This window comes from Homo sapiens, chromosome 14 (genome assembly GCF_000001405.40).
Source record: "Homo sapiens chromosome 14, GRCh38.p14 Primary Assembly".
Classification (NCBI taxonomy): Eukaryota; Metazoa; Chordata; class Mammalia; order Primates; family Hominidae; genus Homo; species Homo sapiens.
The window spans coordinates 66500037-66523717 of record NC_000014.9 but is presented as its reverse complement, the minus strand read 5'-3'; the positions used below and the strand labels follow the sequence as shown (position 1 = coordinate 66523717).

At 37.8% G+C, this 23681-nt stretch overlaps 1 protein-coding gene across 20 annotated transcripts in view, besides 4 other annotated features; it reads right to left on the bottom strand.

The window, feature by feature from the left end:
• Positions 1-15571, bottom strand: part of GPHN (gephyrin) — a 1227209-nt gene extending 1211638 nt beyond the window's left edge. For all 20 annotated transcript variants that reach the window (XM_047430879.1, XM_011536340.4, XM_017020913.3 and 17 more), the window contains exon 1: positions 15127-15571. In XM_047430879.1, the coding sequence (XP_047286835.1) occupies positions 15127-15190 (64 nt within the window). In that variant the 5' untranslated portion in view covers positions 15191-15571. The remainder of the gene's footprint in view (positions 1-15126) is intronic.
• Positions 14287-14336: an enhancer, noted in NCBI's record as "active region_8569". NCBI's record gives its function as "activates an Ori minimal core promoter by ATAC-STARR-seq in GM12878 lymphoblastoid cells {active_cell/tissue: GM12878}" and the evidence as "EXISTENCE:reporter gene assay evidence [ECO:0000049][PMID:35858748]".
• Positions 14587-14746: an enhancer, noted in NCBI's record as "active region_8568". NCBI's record gives its function as "activates an Ori minimal core promoter by ATAC-STARR-seq in GM12878 lymphoblastoid cells {active_cell/tissue: GM12878}" and the evidence as "EXISTENCE:reporter gene assay evidence [ECO:0000049][PMID:35858748]".
• Positions 14837-14986: a silencer, noted in NCBI's record as "silent region_5854". NCBI's record gives its function as "represses an Ori minimal core promoter by ATAC-STARR-seq in GM12878 lymphoblastoid cells {active_cell/tissue: GM12878}" and the evidence as "EXISTENCE:reporter gene assay evidence [ECO:0000049][PMID:35858748]".
• Positions 15337-15526: a silencer, noted in NCBI's record as "silent region_5853". NCBI's record gives its function as "represses an Ori minimal core promoter by ATAC-STARR-seq in GM12878 lymphoblastoid cells {active_cell/tissue: GM12878}" and the evidence as "EXISTENCE:reporter gene assay evidence [ECO:0000049][PMID:35858748]".

Here is a 23681-nt window from a genome sequence, read left to right as displayed (position 1 = left end):
TTAAAGGTTTACTTCATTATCTCACTTACCACAACAACCCTCTAAGGCAGGCATATTAGTATTATTTTCCATTTGACAGATGAAAAAAACTAAAGCTTAGAGAAGTAACTCTAAAAACTTCACTTAGGTATAAACCCAGGTGGTCTAATCCAGAGCCCACCTACTATTCTGAGTATCTGTGTGAACCTAAAACATAATATTGTTCATCAAAGGTATTATGTCTTATTTTACAACAGCTTTATTTTAAATTTACAATAGCAAAATAATAACTATTTTGGAGGGAGTGCTAATTTTTTGTTTTCCAGATCTCTAGTGTAGCAATACATTTTAAATTTAAAAAGAAAAAGTAATACTTCAAATACCCCTTAATCACTATTATTCTTCTAAGCTTGATTGTGGGAATCTGTCATTACACTTAAGTTCATATAATTTTTTCTAAGGTCTATATATTTAGCAATTTGAACCTCTGTAGCACATGATATTGAATGAAATAAAATTGCACATATTGTGCAGTGGAAGTAACAGACATTTATTTTCATTTACACTTGTTATGAATGTCTGTGTCTTTTTCTAGTAATTTTTCCTGTTTGAAGGAAAACACTTTAGATCAATAATTTTGCCGTCACTAATAGATTTCAGCAATGATGGAATGGTAAACATGAGGCATGTTCCTCAGATTTAGGATTAATAAAATTTTAGAGCTGAAGGGGATTTTAGAGATCATCTACTCAACTTTCCATTTTACAAATAATGATACTAAACTCCCACTGAAAAAATCCAAAATAGAATTTCATCCAGTGTTCTTTCCCCACATAGTGGTAACAGAACCAAGACTGGTCAGTTTCTAGTCTTTGCTATCATAGATTTTCAGAATCAAATAAGAATATATTCAGTCAACATTTTAACAGGAAAAAAAAGGACAAACAAAAAAAGAGGTGGTGATTAGAAAAAAAAATTATATATTTTAAAGGTAAATCCAGGGTAAAATAATTAATTTTCACAATAAAGATTATTGTAGAAAAACCATTATTTTTACAGCAAAAAAAGTAAAAGAATACATATAAAAATCATACACAGATTTTCAAGAGATCATCTGCAGGGGAAAGACCACCATTTCCTAAAAAGGTGTTGAACAGAACTCAGGTGTATCTTGAAAAAGTGTTTAATTTTCAAATAAATTTGGAAGCACTAGACTAAATACAGGTTAAGAGGTTCCACAATTATTACTCACATCTTTAATATGCCTTCATATACTGTGAATCTCCAAATGGAGGGATGCATTATATGGCACTTTCCACATTTATTTGATCATGTAAAAGCATTTTCATATAATACATACTATAACATCTCCCGGACAAGTGTTGCTAGAACAAAATTTAGGAAACACTGGGAGGCACCATTTGTAGAAAAAAAGACTAAGACCCATAGGTGATCATAAATTCAAAATAAAGCAACATAAAGGGCTCTTTAAAAAATGGGTAAAATATTTCAATTATGTGTGTATTACTATTCTAAAATGTCTTTAGAGAACCACTCTTTTATATAGAGTATGAAAAAGTGGAGGTCAATCATTGTGAGTTCTCCTGATATACAAATTAACCACCCTTCACATCACAGGGGCCTAGGTTTAAGCCATTGATTGCCACACCCTAACTTATTCCAATTCCAATTTGAAACTATCTGCCAGAGGAGCATTTTCATGGCAGAAGCAGGAGAAAGAAGAAACAGTGACTGATATAATGAACTACATTCTCAGGGAAAAAAAGAATGAAGCAAAAAGGCATCAAGACTTCAGGGACCCTCTAAAAAAAAAGTTGTCTGCTTGCTCAGCACACTTTTCCCCTTTTAGTGACAGAAACTCCTCTCCTTTTAAAGACTTCCCTTGTTCCCTCTGCTGTGGTCTGAATGTGTGCGTCCCCCTCCAAAATGTTGAAACCAGACCCCCTATCCCACCCCACCCTGTGATGGTCTTAAAGAAGTAGAACCTTTGGAGGAGATTAGGTCACAAGGGGTCCACCCTCATAAATGGGATTAGTGCCCTCATAAAAGAGGCTTGAGGGAGCCCTCTTGCCCTTCCAACATATGTGGACATAGCTAGAAAGCCACAGTTAAGAAGGCATTGTCCCTGAGGAACAGGCCCTCACCAGACCAGATCTGCTAGTGCCTTGATCTTTGACTTCCCGGCCTCCAGAACTGTAAGAAATAAATTTCTGTTATTTATAAATTACCCAGTCTAAGTATTTTGCTATAGCAGCCCACACTAAGATACTCTCTCTATGTGATTCTGGTGAGGTTACCTATTTAGTATCCCCACTCCCAAGGATGGATATGTGATACAGACCTGGCCAATCAAGCCTCAACCTCCTGGTTACAATGACGGGCTCCAAAATTGACATGTGAGTCATGCCAGGTGAGCATCCTGGAAGTTTATATACAAATGTCACGAGAAAAAAAAAATTTCCTCTGACCACCATTTAACCCAGCAATTCCATTACTGGGTATATACCCAGAGAAATAGAAATCATTCTACCATAAAGACACATACACATGAATGTTCACTGTAGCACTATTCATAATAGCAAAGACATGGAATCAACCTAAATGCCCACCAATGGCAAACTGGATAAAGAAAATGTGGTTTGTATACATACATCATGGAATACTATGCAGCCATAAAAAAAATGAGATCATGTCTTTTGTGGGAACATGGATGGAGCTGGAGGTCATTATCCTCAGCAAACTAATGTAGGAACAGAAAACCAAATACCAGATGTTCTCACTTATAAGTGGGGGCTAAAAGAACTCATGGACACAAAGAAGGGAACGACAGACACTGGGGCCTGCTTGAGGGTAGGGGGTGGGAAGAGGGATAAGCAGGAAAAATAACTATTGGGTACCAGGCTTAGTAGCTAGGTGATGAAATAATCTGTAAAACAACCCCTCTGACATGAGTTTACCTATATAACAAACCTGCACATGTACCCTTGAAACTAAAATAAAAGTTTAAAAAAAAAAAGAAAATATTTCCTCTGGACTCACTAATTGGGAAGGGGAAACATGAAACTATTACTATAACTTCTCAATCTACCCCTCCTCTATAACCTCACAATTCTGACTATAAGAAGAAAGTCAGCCTGCAACATACTCAGAAAACAGAGCACTGAAATGGAGAGTAAGAGTTCATGATTACATTTCTTCCCGATCACATTATTTGAGTCCCTTAAGTCAGCTCCTCCTCTGTAATCTATGGCTATGTAAGTTTCCCTCTTCACTTAAGCTAATTTTGAGCTCAGTAACTCTCATTTGCAATAAAGAATCCTAATAAAAGGATCCTGTGTAACTCAAGAAGTATATTCAAAAGAACTTGTAAAGCTAAAAAGCTAATACCCAATGAAGGTGGGAATATTAATTAATACATCCTTATTGGAAAGTAAATTATCTATTAAAATTTTTAAGTTCATATACCCTTGACCCCAAAATTCTACAGATAGTAATCTTACATTATAAAAAACTTATAAACTTGTAATGATAAATGTATAATATTATTATCTACAACATCTGTCTCTGAAAAATCAGAAACCTCGATGTCCATCAATTAGGGACTAATTAAATATAGCATAACCTACAATGCAGTAAGACCCATTAAAGTGAAATATGTATATGAACATCTTTGAAGATCTCTATGAAATAATTCTGACATGCCAAAGAGGAGTATCATGTAGTAGTTAAGAGCTTACACTCTACGGACAGATTACATAGATTCAATTTGCAGCCTGTTCATTTACTGCACTAACTTGAGCAAGTTACTTAATCTCTCTCTGCTACAATTTCTTCAGCTGTAAAATGGTGACAACACTAACATATTATTACGAGGATTAAATGAATAGGCTCTGTAACAGGCTCTAGAAAGTATTTTACACTTCATAGGCTCTCAATAAAGTTAACCACTATTATTTTCACTAATATGAAAAGATGTCCAAAATATGCTACAGAGTTAGGGAGTGAAGGAAGAAAGTGCAAAATACTATGTATGAGCAAGAATCACAATCTCAAATGCCTATCAAGGTCAGGCAGCCAACACGTATTAAACAGAAACTGTGGGAAACTGAAGAACGCATGTTCTATCTTATGCAGACAGTAACTCTAAACAACTATTATGTGAGAAACATGTTGTGTGTTGCTGAATCTTAAGAAGCAAAAAAAATATGGATTTTATATGAAATATCTTTTTTTAAGTGTTAGAAACAAATACTTTTTCTAAAATACAGTAGGGGACTAATGAAACACTGGTTAGTTAGGGCCAGTGGTCCATCAATTTGCAAGCTCTGATGTATTGTATGATACACATACACATATTCAAATATATCAAATATATGACTGTATACAAAAGAATAAACAAAAAGATTTTTTAAGTGGTTAACACTAGAGAGAAACTAGAGAAGTAATGTGATGAGGCTTAATTTCGCATTTTACCTTTCTGTATTATTACATTCTTTATAACACATAAATATACTTTAATAAATTTAACTAATTAAAAGAATGACATAAGAATTCAGGAGCTTTCTTATTTGCAATTTTTAAAATTTTCTTTTATATTTTACATTGACATACAATAATTATACATACTTATGAGATACATAGTGATGTCTCCATACATATAATGTATGGTGATCAGATTAGATAATTAATATATCCATCATCTTGAACATTTATCATTTCTTTGTGTTGAGAACATTCAATATCCTCCTTCTAGCTATTTGAAACTATATATTACTGTTAACTATAGTCACCCTACAATGCTACAGAAGACTAGAATTTATTTCTCCAATCTAGCTGTAATTTTGTATCCTATAACACATTTCTCCCTGTATCCCCTTCCCCCGCCTCTTCCCAGTCTCTAGTATCCTCTGTTCTACTTTACTTCTATGAAACCAACTTTTTTTAGTTTCCACATAATAGTGAGGACATGCAGTGTTTAACTTTCCATTCCTGGCTTATTTCACTTAATATAATGTCCTTCAGTTCCATCCATGTTGCCATGAATGATAGGATTTCATTCTTTATGGCTGAACAGTATTCCATTATGCATATATACCATAATTTCTTTGCCCATTAATCTGCTGTTGGACACCTAGATTGAGTCTATATCTTAGCTATTGTGAACAGTGCTGCAGTAAATATGGTACACGTGTCTCTTCCATATACTGATTTCCTTTTCTTTGGGTAAGTGCCGAGTGGTGAAATTGATGGATCATATGGTAGTTCTATCTGTAGTCCTTTAAAGAACCTCTATACTGTTCTCCATAGTGGCTGTACTTGTTTACATTCCTATTAACAGTATATAAGAGGTCCCTTTTCTCTACATCCTTGGCAGCATTTGTCATTCTTTGTCTTTTTGATAACAGTGATCCTAACTGGGGTAAGAGAATACCTCACTGTGGTTTTGATTTGCATTTTCCTGATGATTAATGATGCTGAACATTGTTTAATGTATTTTTTGGCCATTTGTATGTCTTCTTTTGAGAAATATCCCATCTTTTTTTAATCAGATTGCATTTTTTGCAGGGTTTTTTTTGTTTTGTTTTTTTCTGGGTTATTTATTTATTTATTTATTTATTTATTTGGCTGTTAAGATGTTTGAGTTTCTTGTATATCCTAGATATTAATCCCCCGTCAGATGAACAGTTTGCAAATATTTTCTCCCATTCTATAGGCTGCCTTTCATTCTGTTGGTTATTTCCTTTGCTGTATAAAAGCTTTTTAGTTTACTATAATCCACTTGTTTATTTTTGCTTTTTTTGCCTGTGCTTTTGAGGTCTTATTTATAAAATTTTTTCCCAGACCAATGTCCTGAAACATTTCCCCTATGTTTTCTTCTAGCAGTTCCATAGTTTCCTGTCTTACATGTAGGTCTTTGATTCATTTTGAGTTAATTTTTGTACAGAATAAGAGGTGGGGCTCTAGTTTCATTCTTCTGCATATGGATATCCTTTTTCCCAGAAACATTTCTTGAAGATACTGTCCTTTCATCAGCAAATGTTCCTGGGACCTTTCTCAAAACTCAGTTGGCTGTAGATATGAGGATTAATTTCTGGGTTCTCGATTCTGTTCCTTTGGTCTATGTGTCTGTTTTTACACCAGTACCATGCTGTTTTGGTTACTATCACTCTGTAGTATATTTTAAAGTCTGATAGTATGATGTCTCCAGCTTTGTCCTTTTTGTTCAGGATTGCTTTGGCTATTCCAGGTCCTTTATGGTTCCATACAAATTTTAACTTTTTTTTCCCTATTTCTGTGAAGAATGTCATTGGTATAGAATGTCATTGATAGGACTGCATTGAATCTGTAGATTGCTTTGGGTAGTGCCCACTTGCAGTTTAATCCAAACGTAACTTCTACAATGTGGATGTTAATTTTATGAAAGCATAATTTTTAAAGTTTAGACTATAATCAAAATGTTCTGTATAGACTCTTAGGTGAAAGTGAAGAGGGGGGCACCACCGTGTAAATGTTCCTTCATCTTTTTACATCTGAAAATAGTATTTTTACTCTATTCAGTTTCTTCTTTTTTTTTTTTTTTTTTTTTTTTTTGAGATGGAGTCTCACTGTGTGGCCAGGCTGGAGTACAGTGGCACAGTCTTGGCTCACTACAATCTCTGCCTCAGGGGTTCAAGTGATTCTCCTGCCTCACTCCCGAGTAGCTGGGATTACAGGCACACACCACCATGCCTGCCTAATTTTCATATTTTTAGTAGAGGTGGGGTTTCACCATGTTGGCCAGGATGGTCTCAATCTCCTGACTTCGTGATCTGCCCGCCTCAGCCTCCCAAAGTGCTGGGATTACAGGCGTGAGCCCCTGTGCCTGGCTCAGTTTCTTATTTATAAGATATCCAACAGTTCTTAACCATTAATTAGACTTTAAAGATTATTAATTTCAAGTGCACATTAATGTGTTTTTTAAAAGAACAAGAAATAATTAAAAGAAACATTTCATTTTTACTTAGCATTCAAATTGCACTTAATCTCTTTCACTCATAGAGTGGATTTTTATTAACATTTACAGCATCAGGCAGACACATTTAGCCATGATCCTGAAATCGTGAAGTACTATACAAAGAAATAAAGCTATTTATTATAGTAATATCCACTCATTTTCTGATGCCCTGAACCCAAAAGTGAAAATATGTGCCTTTAGACCCTCACTTCAAATCTAACTGGATGTAATATCACAAATAATTCTTAGCAAGTTTATGTGGTTCCCAAGGATATAGTAGATTAGAAGGGCAGGGCAGGAAGAGGAAGGGCAAGTGGGTAAAACCTGAAAAGCATATACGTTATGGAAACATACTATCATGTCACAGTAACAGATATTCAGAATAGAATGTAGAAATATAATTGCTGGCCAGGCACGGTGGCTCACATCTGTAATCCCAGCACTTTGGGAGGCTAAGGCAGGTAGATCACTTGAGGTCAGGAGTCCAAAACCAGCCTGGCCAACATGGTAAAACTCTGTCTCTACTAAAAATACAAAAAAAAAAAAAAAATTAGCCAGGCATGGTGGCAGGCGCCTGTAATCCCAGCTACTCGGGAGGCTGAGGCAGGAGAATCACTTGAACCCGGGAGGCAGAGGTTGCAGCAAGCTGAGATCGCACCACTGCATTCCAGCCTGGGCGACAGAGTGAGTCCGTCTCAAAAAAAAAAAAATGTGTATCAAAAAAATGGCTTGACATAAAAACAGTTTTGGTGCTTGTACTTGTTATCTACTTAAAAAATAAAATATAAAAGCACCTTATTCCTTGAAACATAAATGAAGCATGAATGTGTCAATATTCAACTTGACTGAATAATGTTTTCACAGTAGTGCTAGAATATATGCTTCAAGACAAGAAAGATTGAACTGTCTTAATCACTATTGTATCCTTCACTTAGCACAGGGCCTTGGTACATAGTAGGTGTTGAATACTGAATACATTATTTCATTTCTCACATTAACCCATCAAGGTAAACACACTTACCCCCATTTAAAGGTAAGGAAACTGTGGTAAAATGTGCTTATCTTGAAAGTGGGAGAAGAGGCATAACTTTTGACTCCTAACAGTGTTATTTTGATCACCAGAATCAACATTAACAGCATTTTCAGAATTTTTTTACCTATAATTTCAAATTTTTAGTTTTTAGATATCAAATTTCATTAGTCTAAAATTATCCTCACACAAACAACACCCAACTAAAACAATATACAAAATTTAATGCTATAAAACATCTCAAACACACATCGTTATAAATATCATCCTATTACCAGAAAAACATACCTTTTAAAAACTAATCAACTTCACTCCATCTACCCTAAACTATCCTTTTAGTAATAATAGCCAAGTTCTGGTTTACCTAAATGTTTCTTAAGGTACTATATAAATTTTACACCACCCAATTTTTTTATTAAACACCTTCTATCCAATTACTTCATTAACAGATGCTATGACAAAAGGGCACAAAAGAAGTAAAGAACATAACCATATATCTCAAGAACTTTAAAATCTACTTTGAATAAGACATGTATACACGAAACTGTGGCAAGTTGCTCCCAAAGCAACATACAAAGAGGAAGGAACCAAAAATAACTGAGTATCTCATCTGAAAATGCTAGGCATTTTCATATGCGTTACCTCTATTAGTTCTGAAAACTTTGTAAAGTAGATATTGCCATCTTCATTTCGGAGAAGAAAACTGAAATTCAGAGAGGTGAAATGACTTCCCAAAATAAAGGGCAAATGAGGGTCTGAAGTCCAAGTCTATCTGACTCCAAAGTTCTATCCTTTTTAAGCTACACCATGCAGCCTCCCACATATAGATTACAGGGTATAGACAACATTTATAAACGTTGTAAGGAAAACAAAGAAAGACATCATTGAAGAGAATAATTCCTAGGAAATATTTTATTGACAAAGTCAGTCCTGAGCTGTGTCTGAAACCTAAGTGTAAGATTGCTAATAACAGAAAGATTAATGTCACAAAAATTTCTAAATAAAAAATCTAAATATTTTCCTTCTTTGATCATTATTCTATTTCTTATTCTCTTGCATTTTTATGTATAACCTACCCTCCCCTATAATCATTCCCATTATAAAGACAGAAAAAAATTAACTAGGTCTAATATCCTATATTTCTCTTTCCTGCTGGTCAGAATGCTAAAAGATAGAAACATATACTGCCATGAGAGCCTTGAAGTGATCTTAGAGAGTGATTTCTTCATTTTAGTGGTAAGAAAAGCTGAGAGAGGGTTACACAATATACTGAAGGTTACAAAACTTTACTAGCCAGAATAGTATGAGAACATAGTTCTTACAGTGTTCTTTCTATGATTCAGTGCTCCTTAAATTTTTTGCCATGAAGTGTCAATAACGCAGAAGAATGACGAGATCTGGAGCTCACTTGAAATATAATGGGCTCACTTGAAATTTCTTTGAAGTTTCTAATTTCATCTTAAAGCCTCATATGAATTCTATACTTTGTGCCTAATTTACTTATGCTTATCTTAATATTAAAGTTATTTAAATTAATACCATCAAGTAAAATTGGTACTTAAAAAATTATTATGTTTGTTCCTGTGGCTTAGATTCTAAGCCTTATAGGTATCCCTTGACACAATGTCATGTACTCCAGTTTGAGAAGAATGCCCCAAATTATGGTGACAATTCCTTCATCATATTTCATTTCCTTGCTGCTTTATTTTTCAAATTAAGAATTCTTTTTAAAGCATGGTAAATTTAATTACACTCTTTCGAAATGTATAAATACTGACAAAGCTACTGTTAAAATTGTTGGGGTTGTTTAAACACAAAATTTTCAAGAAGCTCTACTTAGTTAAAATTAATTTATTAAAAACAATTTAGTTTATAAATTCATTAAAGAACCTGGATAGAACTTCTACCTAGCAATACTTCATTAAACATTTCCTTTTTGAGAGGTCACTCAAAAAAACTTTTTAATGAAAGTGAGATTAGATGCCATTCATATTGACTACAGTCCCAATTACTTTTAAGTAGGTTAAACAATCTTTTCTTCTTCCTTGGTATTTATCTTCTCTGCCCAGATGTGAAGGAAGAAATCCTTTGTGGTTTCACTACTTTCTTTTTCAGGATCTTTTTTTAATACCTTTCAAATTCCAAATATGCTTCATTATTCTTCAATCCTATTTACAGAAACAGAGTAATAGATTTTATCTATTTTACTGATTGTTTTTAAAAACACCCTGTTCAACTTAGCCAGGAATCTATCACTAGCAAGATTAAAAATAGACTCTTATTCGTCACTTCCTCCCTAAAAACATACTATTGACTTTCCACTATATGCCTGCTTGAAGTCAAATAGTTGTATGTGTTTTTAATGTATTTAAAACTCTTATTGTATAGCAACTAATACTTTTTCAAGTCCTTGGCCAGTGATGATAGTATTAAGTATATTCACTTTGAAGTCAAATTGTCACATGTGTTTTTAATATAGTTAAAATTCTTATTGTATAGCAACTAATACTTTTTCAAGTCTTTGACCAATGATAATAGTACTAAGTATATTCATTAGAAATTAATTTAACATTTTCCTACTTTGCCTAAACATTTAATTCTCTAATACATTGCTTTCAACAAAAAATTCACAAAATAACAATCTATTTCAAGAAATAGGATTCCTTTCAAGTCATATAGATCAATATTAAAAACACATATTAAAAAAACAGCTAAGTTAGGCAGAACATACAGTTCCACTTAGTAGGATTTAATAGTAATTTGCCTACTTAATGACATCTATTCTCAAAACAGATATAATATGTATATATCCTTATCAATAAATGGGCTTTTCAGAAAATAATATTGACACATAATATACCAGAACAGGTTTCAAGAATGTAAAAAAGTAAATGCTTAAACAATTGCAGAGTTATGACAGTAGCATCTGCTTGGCTCAAGCTTGTTTTTTTAATACTTTGAATGACTTCATTTATGAATAACTGAAATACTCCCTACCTGTTACTGTAATATTTTGATGTTCTCATTTACAATTAGTCTTTTAACTAATCTCTAGTACCTAGTCTTATATTTGTTCCAGTATCTCTTACTGATTTCAAATCAACAGGTTAGTGCAATTAAAATGTATATTACTACAGCAAAAATATGATTTTTAAAAATGCCCTTTCCCAAAAATTTGTACCTTTTTCTCATTCATGCCCCTATTAGTGACAATTTAGGTAATGGATTATCATCTTCAGCTAAGTACCTTGGTATCAAACATTAGCTGTAGCGAACTAATACGATATTCAGTAGCCAATGGAATAATCTATATGATTCTACATTCTATACATACATGTAGTCATTATTTTCCTAGTAATGTTTCTGTAGAGCTTTTACAGGTAAAACTAGTATGCTGCTTTGATAAACAGCTTCTTTCAAAATAGAAAAAAGTATGTGAAGAGTGACATATTCCAGATATAGTGAGCCTGCTATGTAACTGGTAAGATTGACTTCAAGTATAATCACTACTAAAGCTGTTAGAAAAAAATTCTACATCTGCACCACATCCTGTTTCTAGTTTTCAAGTAGCAGATACTTGTTTATTTGCTTCATGTTACTCATTACCATATTACCTCTAGTCTCTTCTATAAATAGTAATACAAGTAGACAACTAATTAGACACAGAAATATTTCAAACTAGACCTTAGGTCACCAAACACCATGTGACTTTCATTTCTGTCAAGTCAACATAAGACAGTTTCGAACAAAGTTATTGTTGTTAGAGATGGACAATAATATTCAACATAAAATGTTTCCACATACAGCCTATTTTATATACATATATGTTCTCATTTTCCTGATTTAAAAAAAAGTATAATTAGAATATCCATGTTACATTAATTATCATAATCTCATTTTCAAGTGCTTAATAATTCAAAATAATGAAGCAAAAAAATGCTTCTGCTAAATATTTCCCTTTCTACCATTATTCTTTCATAAACCTAATACAATTAATTTATTTAATGAGAAGTCTCAACAGACTATGTACTAAATTTGCCAAATTTACAACTGAAATGAAGATAACGAAAACATCTAATGGATGAAAAGTTTCAAAGAACAAATATCTTTCAACAGGTAATAAAAAATGTCACAACGTCAATTAAAAACTTTAGAAATGACAATATGACTTCACAAAATACTAAGTAACATATTGTAAAATGTGTGTGTGGGTAGATCACACTTTCCACTATCTTTGTAAAATAGATATAGATAAAATACTTAAAATTAGTATTACGAAGCATGCCAAGGAGATTTTCTAAAAGAGACCCTCCACCTTTTAAGAGCCACAAATAATAATTTACAAAAACCACAGTTCAACTCAACTTTCTTAAGTATGAAATCACAATACTTCAGTTCAGTAAAGAATAATTCTACATAGTAAAACTGCAAAACCTCAAGTTCTAGAATACACAAAATTGTACAGCACAGCTTCATTTTTGTAAGTTCTTTCCCCCAAATCATATGGTATATCAGGCAAGACCACAGAAATTAAGCTGTTGATAATGAAACCCACTAGTTACAGACTTGAGAAAAATCAGTTTTCTTTCCTCTCCATCATAGTAGACAATATCTGTATCAACAACTTTCAAGAAAAAGCCTGAGTTACTTCTGACTTCAAATATACATGTTATCATCAAAACCTATTTTCCTCTATTATCACTTATTCCAAATCTGTAGCTGCCTTTTCATTCCTTCAGCTACATCCTTGTTCCTGGCCCTAGACTTTTCCCCCTAGACTACTGTACCTCATTCTCATGAGACGGCTTCCCCTGACTGTCTTTAATTCCACTGTCAATGTTAATGTTACCTTCTCTCTAACATTTTACCTATGCCACCTACCCATTCCACTTCAGCTTTTCAAGGCCTTTACATTGCATTTTTATTTAGCTCAGAAGCCTCATCATCAACTATATATTTATTTATAAAGTGGCTGCTGACTTTCAACTCCCCTTAAAATTGACAGTTTCTTCTTGACCTAGTAAATGTATTAAATTCTCCCTTCAGGTAGTCACATTCTCTCCTAATCCATCTGAATACGGAATTTCTTTTGCAGTTAACCCCAAACTCATAGGTAATGTATTTAGAAAAGTTTTGCACAATAATTACATACAATGTTTCTTCATTTGTTTGCGTATCAATGTTATCCATATTAGACTGTAGGGACACCAGATAAGGGCTGCATCTTTCAAAGCAGTCTGTACAACACCTATCTGCTATGTCACTTCACAAAGGTAAGTTGATTCGTTAAATGAAACTATTATTTAATGGAAAGCTTAAGTAGAAAATGTTCATTTTAAAAATGTTTCTACGGTTTAACTTTTAAACATCTATGGCCTTTTTTATTTCCACAGACAACTGACATATTTTGGTTTCTCACTACTCTATTATTGTCAAAGAATGGCTGGAATTTAAAGTGCAAGTTGAGGGTAGATAAAAGATATACACTTTGACATCCCACCATCAGATTATTCGAAAATTGGCAATGTCAGCTCCAGGAATTCTGAAATACAACTGAATCTTCACATACCCAAACAGTTTCAGGACCAAAAGAAGAGAACAGCGCACCTTCTGATTTGGGGGTTCCCTTTTCTGCAACTGGTTTAGACTAGTTTCTCTATCCAAGGGTCTTTTAATTAGGAAAATTCAATTAATCACCATCGATATACGGAAAGAATACCAGGGAAAGGCAATCCTTTACTTAAAAGAGAAAAAAGGAGGCTTTGGATATCACCTTTTCATAAAATTCAGCAGCTAAATTAAGCTTTGCACTCAATATCTGCCGGCAGTCTCAGACATTTTTTTTCTACCTAATAATAAAAGCAAGTCTTATTCAATTTAGTCCCTTCTCGAGCACCGTCTCGACCTGTCAGAATTTGACAGTTAAAGAAAAAATTAAAAAAAGAAGTAAGGGAAACACTAGGATTCCCGTCCACACTGCTTCTTTTTCCGAAATCACATCACTGAGTCTTGGATTTCCTTCACTCCAAACTAAGCCCTCAGATTCCAAATATAGTTCTTTAACCCCCGTCTCGCCACTCAATTACACATAAACCTTGCCAATTACAGAACCACAGCAGAAACCCCTACAAATCCGCTTGCTGTTCATCTTGGAAGTCATGCCCTGCAGCAACTGCCGATCGCCGAAGTGACGGATATTAACCAAATTCAGCGCAACGGAATCAGACATGCAGAACACACACGGCTTTCGCGAGGGAGGGAAACGCGACCCGGGAAAAGTGCGCTCCTCACCAGCCTCGGGACGCTCTACCGGGGTGGGGGTTCCCAGAAAGGAGGGGGAGAGGAGCCCGAGTAGGGGAATCCTGCCCTCTCAAGTAAAAAGCTGGATCCCCGGCAGCAGGCTGCAGCCCGTCCTCGCTAAGGAAACGACGAGGCAGACAGAGGGCCTTTTGCGCGGAAAGGCAGAAGGCAGACACTTTCCGAGGTCCGGACGCAAGCCGATCCCCCATCCCCCGAGGGAGGCGAAGGGTGCCCCATGGGTGGCTGAGGGGACGCCCGGCCCGCGAGGGACAACCCGAGGAGGAGCAGTTTCATCTGATTAACACCTGAGTCTCGTCCAGGCAAGCACAGATACTGGCGTGGGGCCGCCCAGGTGGGGGGAAGGGAAGGAGAGGAAGGGGGTGGAGATGGGATTCCCCCCTCTCTCTGAAGAGCACTAGCGGAGGATGCGCCCAGGCCAGCCGAGAGCGGCATGCTTCAGACTGCGGAGCCGGGATCCCGCCGCCTGCACCGACAGCGCGGAGCCCCGCAGCGCCCTCCGCACCGGCCCCTCGGTCCCCGGGGGCCCAGGACTTTGCTTCCGAAGGCGCTGGGGCCTAACATCCCACGGGGTCGACCCCGGCTCCTGGGGCCTGGGGGAGGGGACCCGCGGGAACACCCCCAATCTCCGGCGGTTCTCAGCGGTTGTAAAATGCACCCCCGCGGTTCCCTTCTTCAGCCTTCCCTCCTCCCGAGGCCGCAGAGAAGGGCCACCACAGGCGAAAAGCCTAAGGCAATGCAGGGACAGCAGCCTCATAGGTCCCAGACCTCCTCCCCCGGTTACCTGTAAGGACTCCGACACGGATTTGATGGTCGTGGTTAGTAAGGATCATTCCCTCGGTCGCCATGTTTCCCAGCGCAGTCACCGCACTGACAGGAGCCGGGAGAAACCGGAGCCCGGAGCGCGCGGGCCGGGAGCGCGCTCGCCGAGGAGAGCGCGACAGCTAGGGAGCCAGAGAAGCGCGAGGAGAGCGGGGAAGGAGGGGGAGGCCACAGAGTGCACGGTGGCCTGCGTGGGGGAGAGGCCGCGCCGGGAGTGCGCGGGTCCGCGGGAGGGGAAGGAGTCAGGGCGCGCGGCCCCAAGTCCGGCAAGAAGGAGGCAAGCTTGGGGGGCGCGGTGGCCGCACGGGGAGAGCGCGCGGAGGCGGCAGAACGAGGCCGGAGAGTGTCGGAACGCTCTGCGGAGCGCGAGACCCAAGGCAGCTAGATGGCAGGACTGAGAGGAAAGGATAGCACACGCTCTGGAGGTTGCGGGGGCGGACTCGGGGACAAGGGCGGAGCTACACCCCTAGGCGTGGAACTCGTGGAGAGTGAGGGGAGGAGTGAGAGCTCGGGTGCTGAGTATTGGGAGCGGGAAGGAGCCGGCCCAGCCTGAGTAGGACCGCGGATCGCTCCTGGGCGCGCGAGTAGCACCGGATTGGCTGAGTGAACGCGGAGCGTGTGCGCGCGAGGCACGAACGCAACCTCGGCCGGGCCCCAGACAGAAGCAATCCCCTGCCGAGCCTGACACCTCGTTGGTTGTCCGCGCCTTAGGCTGGCTCTCGCCGGCGGGCCGGCTTTCTACGCGGGGGCAGCGAGGCTGGCTCAGCACCCCGGGCCTCCTCTTGCAACCCTCGGGAATGGCCGGCCGCCCCACTGAAAGCGCTGGGGAACCGAGAGGTGTCTTAGAAAGCTGCATGAGTGGCAGAACGGTGGCTACTATGACAGAGAGGCCGCCGTGGGCGAAGAGGGAGGTATCCTGTCCTGCCTCGTGCTAGCCGCTGGCTTCCTCAGTGGGCTCTCCCTGAAGGAGGATTTCCGCTTCACCTATGCTTTAGGATTCCATCTCCAGTCAGTGCCTGCAAGACGATCCTCACGTGCGAAACTGAGGAGTCTGAGGCAGGGCAGCTGGAGTGGAGATACCTGGCTTCTCTTCCTCCTGCTGTCCCACGGTTTTGTGGCCTTAAGCCTCTTCGCCATGAGCGCTGCTTTTAGATGAAAAGCATCAATCTCCTTAGCGAACGAGAACGTGTTCCACCTGAACCACAGTCCATTGCCGCGGCGATTTTCATTTCAGTATTCGTGGGATGTGAGATTACCATGAAAGTAGCTTTTGTTGCCATTTATTTCCATGTGCCTTTCATGAAACGTGTTATTAATCACCTGTGGCTATTCTACGTTAGTTTCTTACTATCGTTCTGGACCTTTCAACTTCTGAATTTTAAAAAGTTATATGCGTGTGTGTGTGTGTACACACACTCATATGTATATGTTTTCTCTTCTTAGCTGTAGTAACCTGGAGGCATAAAAGTGAAAAGCAAAGTATTAAAAGATGTATATCAGTGTTTATACACAAATTTCAAAGTCACTTTGATAGGTTTTTTTTTGGTTTTGGTTTTGGTTTTTTTTGATCCGGAGTCTCGCTCTGTCGCCAGGCTCCAGTGCAGTGGCGCGATCTCGGCTCACTTGCAACCTCTGCCTCCCAGGTTCAAGCGATTCTCCTGCGTCAGCCTCCCGAGTAGCTGGAACTACAGGCGCGTGCCACGACACCCAGCTAATTTTTGTATTATTAGTAGAGACGGGGTTTCACCATGTTGGCCAGGATAGTCTCGATCAAGATCTTGACCTCGTGACCCGCCCGCCTTGGCCTCCCAAAGTGCTGGGATTACAGGTGTGAGCCACCGTGCCTGGCCGATTATGAGTTTTTTATTGTTCCGTTGGAACATGAAATTACCCATCCTCTGAAGATTCACGTGCTTATGTATTTCATTTTAAATAATGGGGCCTAAAAGTAGATGATGGATGGAATTGAAGTGGGTAAAATAAATTAATGGCTTTTTTGCTTTTGTTTTTGTTTTTAGTATGTGTATTGCTGGTATTTTTGACAGTAATTAAAAATTTAAGCCAGGTCATGAACTCATTCCCTATCATTGTCACCTTAGATCCTGGTGGCCAACGGGTTGTTAACTAGTTTGAAATGAGAGATAAAGATAAGAAAGTATGTCCAAGAGAATGATTTCCGTTATCTCAAACTAAACATGAAGAGCAAATAGTTGGTTATATTGTTATCTTCCTAACCTATCTCTATTCTCTGCAACACACTCTAAATGATTAGAAAATATCTTGAGCTTATCGTCTGTCTTACATCTATCTTAGACGTAAGGTCTAAACCTGCCCACTAACAGGTTGTGACCCTAAACAAATTTGGGCCTTTTCCTTCATCCTTTAAATAAGATGGTAGACTAAATAAGTACCTTTTAAGTATAGTGGTAGACTAAATAAGCACTCCTTTAATTAGAATATTCTGTAATTATTCATGGAAGAAAACTGGCACTTTATTTCACAAATCAATAATAAGAGGACAAGAGACTAACTTTCTGCATTCATAAAAGGGGTGATGGTTAAATTCATTAAAATTTAAGTGGGAAGGGTGGATATGAATTAAATTTTCTAAAGCAGCAGTCCCCAACATTTTTGGCACCAGGGATCTGTTTTGTGGAAGACAATTTTTCCATGGATGGAGATGGGGAGGGTTGATGGTTTCGGGATGAAGCTGTTCTAGAAAACTGCAGATCATAAGGTATTAGATTCTGATAAGAAGCCACAACCTAAATCCCACGCATCCGCAGTTCACAATAGGGTTCATGCTCCTATGACAATCTAATGCAGCCACTGATCTGACAGGAGGCGGAGCTCAGGCAGTAATGGTTACTGCCTGCTGTGTGGCCTGGTTCCTAATAGGCCACAGATGGGTACCTGTCCATGGCCCAGAGTTTGGGGACCCCTGTTCTAAAGTATATGGAGGTTTATTAACATTCATTATGTTTTACTGACTGTAAGTATTAAAATTCCTAAAAAATAATAATGGAACTAAATTATAATGCTTGTCTTTCAACCGTTTTTCTTAAGTGTATTCATCTTTCTCAAATTCAGCAACCTTTTACAAACCTTACAAAGGAAAAACGCAGTGACTTTACTGTCTAGAGTGAACTTTTACTGATGGTTATTGAATGAATATTATAATATGTACACACTATTACTCTTGTTACAGTGTGACATTCTTCAGAATTCATCCTGGAATCAATATTATGCCAAAGAAAATTTTCTGAAAGGTAGGAGAGAGTGCCATTTTCCAAATATTGATAAATGTCTCAGGAAACATGGGACATGGGGTGTGGTGTGGGTTGGGGTGGGAATTTGTATGTAAATAATTAGAAGTGCCCAGGGAGTTATTCTTTCCATTCTTAGGGTTTTCATCATGAAAACTACAAGAGTTGCCATTAACCATCCAAGACAACATAAAAAAAATAGGTTAACATGTGGCTTTCATTACAATTATCATGGAATGAAACTTTATATTTCAGTAGAAATGAAGTTATTATTATTATTATTATTTTTTGAGACAGTCTTGCTGTGTCAGCCAGGCTGGAATGCAGTGGCACCATCTCAGTTCACTGCAACTTCTGTCTCCTGGGCTCAAGTAATTCTCCTGCCTCAGCCTCCCGAGTAGCTGGGATTACAGGTGTGTGCCACTATGCCTTGCTAATTTTCGTATTTTTAGTAGAGATGGGATTTCACCATGTTGGCCAGCCTGGTCTTGAACTCCTGACCTCAGGTAATCCACCTGCCTCGGCCTCCCAAAGTGCTGGGATTACAGGCGTGAGCCACTGTGACCGGCCTGAAGTTAGTTTTTTCCTAGTACTGGTATATTTACACTTAGCCCACCAGTTAACTCTTAGTTTTTCTGTGGTTAATCACAATTTCTTTTTTTTCTTTTTTTTTTTTTTTTTTTTTGAGACGGAGTCTCTCTCTGTTACCCAGGCCGGACTGCCGTGGCACTATCTCGGCTCACTGCAAGCTCCGCCTTCCGGGTTCACACCATTCTCCTGCCTCAGCCTCCAGAGTAGCTGTGACTACAGGCGCCCGCCACCATGCCTGGCTAATTTTTTGTATTTTTAATAGAGACGGGGTTTCACTATGTTAGCCAAGATGGTCTCGATCTCCTGACCTTGTGATCCACCTGCCTGAACCTCCCAAAGTGCTGGGATTACAGGCATGAGCCACCGCGCCTGGCCCACAATTTCAGTATAAGCAAGGCCAAATCTCATTGGGCTTTTCTGGGTCCAGACTCTCCTCTATGTCTTTTCCTACATGTGCATACCTATGATAAAGTTTAATTATATAGTAGTCACCGTAAGAGATTGACAGAAATAACTGATAATAAAATAGTACAATTATAACAATTTACTGTAATAAAAGTTATGTTAATGTGGGCTCTGTCTCTCAAAATATCTTATTGTATTGTACTCACCTATTTTCAGACCAGAATTAGTTACAGCAATTCTAGGGGAAAAAATACAAAGCCTAATTCAGCCAATTTAAAGTTCTTCTTGACCATAATCTATCTTTCTTTGGGGAAAAAATACATTTAAAGCAACCAAAGCTTCATCCTCACCATTTTTTAAATGGTAAAATACACATTCATAAAATTTACCATTTTAGCCATTTAAAAGTGTACAATTCAGTAGCATGAAGTACACAGTAGCCCTCCCTTATCTGCAGTTTTGCTTTTCTTGGCTTCAGTTACTCTATTTCCCTGAAGCCCACGATTGGAAACCCAGATGTCTGATGACATGCTTGGTTGCAAGCAACTGATCCTAGTTGAAGCCAAAAGAAATTCATTGGCTTATGCAGCTAACAAGTCTGGACTTGTGTAGCTTCAGGGTTGGCTAGATTCAGAGTCTGAAACTATGTCATTAGGATGTCACTTTGAGCTATGCTTTCTTCTTTGTTAACTTCATTCTCACCTTGGCTCTTCCTACATTGCAAAAAGATGGCATTGGCTTCTCTAGGCTGTGTGTGTGTGTGTGTGTGTGTGTGTGTGTGTACACACACAAATATATATTCATATGTTTTTAAGAGAAACATAGTCTCTCTGTGTTGGCCAAGCTGGTCTCAAACTCCTCACCTCAAGATATCCTCCTGCTTCAGCCTCCCAAGTAACTGTGATTACAGATACGAGCCACAGCATCTGGCTCTAGGGTATAATTTAGATCAGTACCCCATTATAGTAAATATTTAGTATATTTAAAATTTTTTAATCTGGAAATTTGAATATAGGTAACCTACTGTATTAGTCTGTTTTCATGCTGCTGATAAAGAGATACCTGAGACTGGGCAATTTACAAAGGAAGGAGGTTTAGTAGAGAACTCACAGTTCTACGTGGCTGGGGATGCCTCACAATCATGGCGGAAGGCAAGGAGGAGCAAGTCACATCTTACGTGGATGGCAGCAGGCAAAGAGGGAATGAGGAAGACACAAAAGCAGAAGCCTCTGATAAAACCATCAGATCCCATGAGACTTACTCACTACCATGAGAACAGTATGAGGGAAACCACCCTCATGATTCAGCTATCTCCCCCCCGTGTTCTTGCCACAACACCTGGGAATTATGGGAGTACAATTCAAGATGAGATTTGGATGGGGACACAGAGCCAAACCATATCACCTACATAAGCAAAAGCTCCATAAAATCCTCAATTTTTACGAATGTAAAGGATCCCAAGAACCAAAACTGAGAATCATAGATTTACATCATGTGCCAATCTGCAAAGCACTTATAAGACAAATTACAAACTCCTCTTTCTCCATTATACTATAGAGGTTATACTTTCCTGAGGGCTCCAGTTTATATACCTTTAATTCTGCCTATATAGTCACATATTAATATTCAGAAGGTAGAGAAGTTCTTCCTAGGTATGTACTGACAATTTACAAATGTACGAAGTTTCCATTTATTTATGTGGCTGTGTATCTGATAAAAGAAGAAAACCAGGAACAAAAATTTTGATTTCTAAAGGAAGCACTAATTTTTCTCCCTCCTGAAAGAAAAAAAAAAAAAGGTAGACCATAAAAGAGAAGGGCAGTATTTTCTAGAAGAGGGAAAGATCATTAGATATGGGAAAGGAAAATGAGATTTGCTAAATTGGAAAGTAATATTAATTGCCCCAGAAGCTATTTGATTTCTTAAAAGGGCTCTGTCTGCAATGCCTTCAGTTTTTAGGATTCAGTATATATATCAAGAAAAGATAGTCCAAGCTTAAAAACTGACATGGATTGACTTTAAGTGGACCTTTTAAAAAATCAAAAGCATCATGCTTTTCTACCATTATTCATTGGTTTCTATGTAACTAAAATTTATCTTAAAACCCAGCATCCCCAGAAAAATATTTTTCCTTAAAAAGCAACGTACAAAACAAAAATTATTTTGTTAACCTAAGTAATCTCACTTTCCCTAGGTTGACTAATAATTGGGAGAAATATAGTTTCTAGGAATGTTTATATCATGTTTTATACTTAAAATGAAACTTAAGTTTTCATGTTAGGAATCATAAGTGAATTTGTGAAAGAAGTAGAGAAGATGGATTTTTAGTTGTCCTGAAAAATTCTCACTTTTGCCATGTAATAATTATATTTCATATGTATCTGCCTGTGCATCTCCTGCCGTGAAATTGACTGGTTGCAGACCAAGCCTCCCTTTCCAGCACGGGACCTTGTTCTCTTCCCATTTCCTAATATTTGTTGACTAAATACAGAACATATGAATCAACAGGGACTTTGAATTGGTAGCAATGCAGGCTCCTTCCAAGGTGCCAGAGGGACCAATAGAGATTTTACTTGGCGTGCAACAGGTTACAGAAGCCTCTACCAATAAAAGGAGAGACACCACCTAAGGTGGCCACTGTTCACATAAACAACACTAAAACTAGATTTTCTGCCTGGATCTACGAGTGTAAGGCAAAATGTTATGTGTTGTCGCTTCCCCTCTTTGATTATTGCAATTCTAGACTAAAGATGAAAGTATCAGGCTGTTGTTGGCCTTATTTCATTTAGGAAGTGTGACAGACATTACTAATCACTTTCTGGCAATGCAAAAAGGCAACTTTTTGGGATAGAATGTTAGCTGATATCCTCTGCATGGCTAGAAAGTCAAGATAAAATAAATGAGATAAGTTACAAAAATAGTCTACCCAAAGTTACGATTTGTAAATGTATTGCTGGTGGGACAGGTTTTTCCTCAATTGACCTTGAAATTGAAAAGTATTGCCCATATGTGGTTAAGGTTATCAGAGATTTTATTCTCAGAGGAATATAATCAGAATATTATGAGCACAAATAAAACTATAATAATGATGTTTCAATCCCAAGTACTTTTTGATTACTAGTTCAGTTTACTATAACTTGATTTGGAGATAGGAATACCCTAAATATAGACATATTCCCACCAAATTGTAAGGTAATAGCCCTCTCTGTAATTTAATATTGGGTGTATCAGTTAATCTCTTGGGAGTTTGAGTAGCTTGAATAAGTCTCTGACCTTTTGAATAAGTTGACCATATAAATTTGTCTGTACTCACAAAACTGAGATCCATTTCCTGGATTCACTGAAATGCAGACACTCATGAGGAGTCACCCAATCTAACTGATAACTTTATACTGCCCTTATGAAAGTCAGAGTCCAATATAAAGTCCTAAAGACAAAGTAGGATAACAGGCTATCCCAGTTTTGTGTTTTGAAAAAATTGAAAGGTTTGGAACATTTGAAGGAAAGATGTTAAGCCTGACTGGTAATGAACATAAAATGTAAATACTTTGGCAATGGCAAATAATTCACTTTTTAAGAAGTTACAACCTCAGCTACCAAGTAAACTACTTTATTCCATGCCTTAGTTAACAACAAACAAGAAAAAAAAAAAAAAGGAGGGAGGTCATATACGAATTCAAACTCACTGTAGTGGTTAAAAAAAAAAACAAACCCATAATTTTAAAACATTCAAATGATGCTCTTTTAATTTAATTTTAAAATTGGGAATCTAAAGCCCTGAGGTTAAATGACTAGTTCAAGGTAATCAGTAGTACATTCAGATTTTATATTTTCATCTTTTGTTCTCATTGCTCTGTCTAATCCAATTGACTTGGAAAATCTCTCAGGACTGCCAGAATCTCCCAGGGACTAAATAAGTACAGTGATGGCTTTCTTGAAACAATGTAAATTACATACTCCACTAACTCAGTTGGTAGAATATTAAACTAATCACCTCAGGGTTTTAGAGGCCATTATTTTTGTGGTTAGGAGAGGAAAGATACAATTTAGATTGGAATATGAACTGGCAGTATTAATACCTAGGCTCTGGTAACCAGCCCTGGCCCCAATTAACTGTAGGAATTTAGACACCTTTTCAATGTATCTGAACTCCAGTATCCTTTTTTGGAAAGTGAAGGAAACTTTATAGTTATTTAAAGTTCCTTCTAATGCCAAAATTCTGTGATTTCTTGTAAACCGTTTCCAGTGCAAAAGT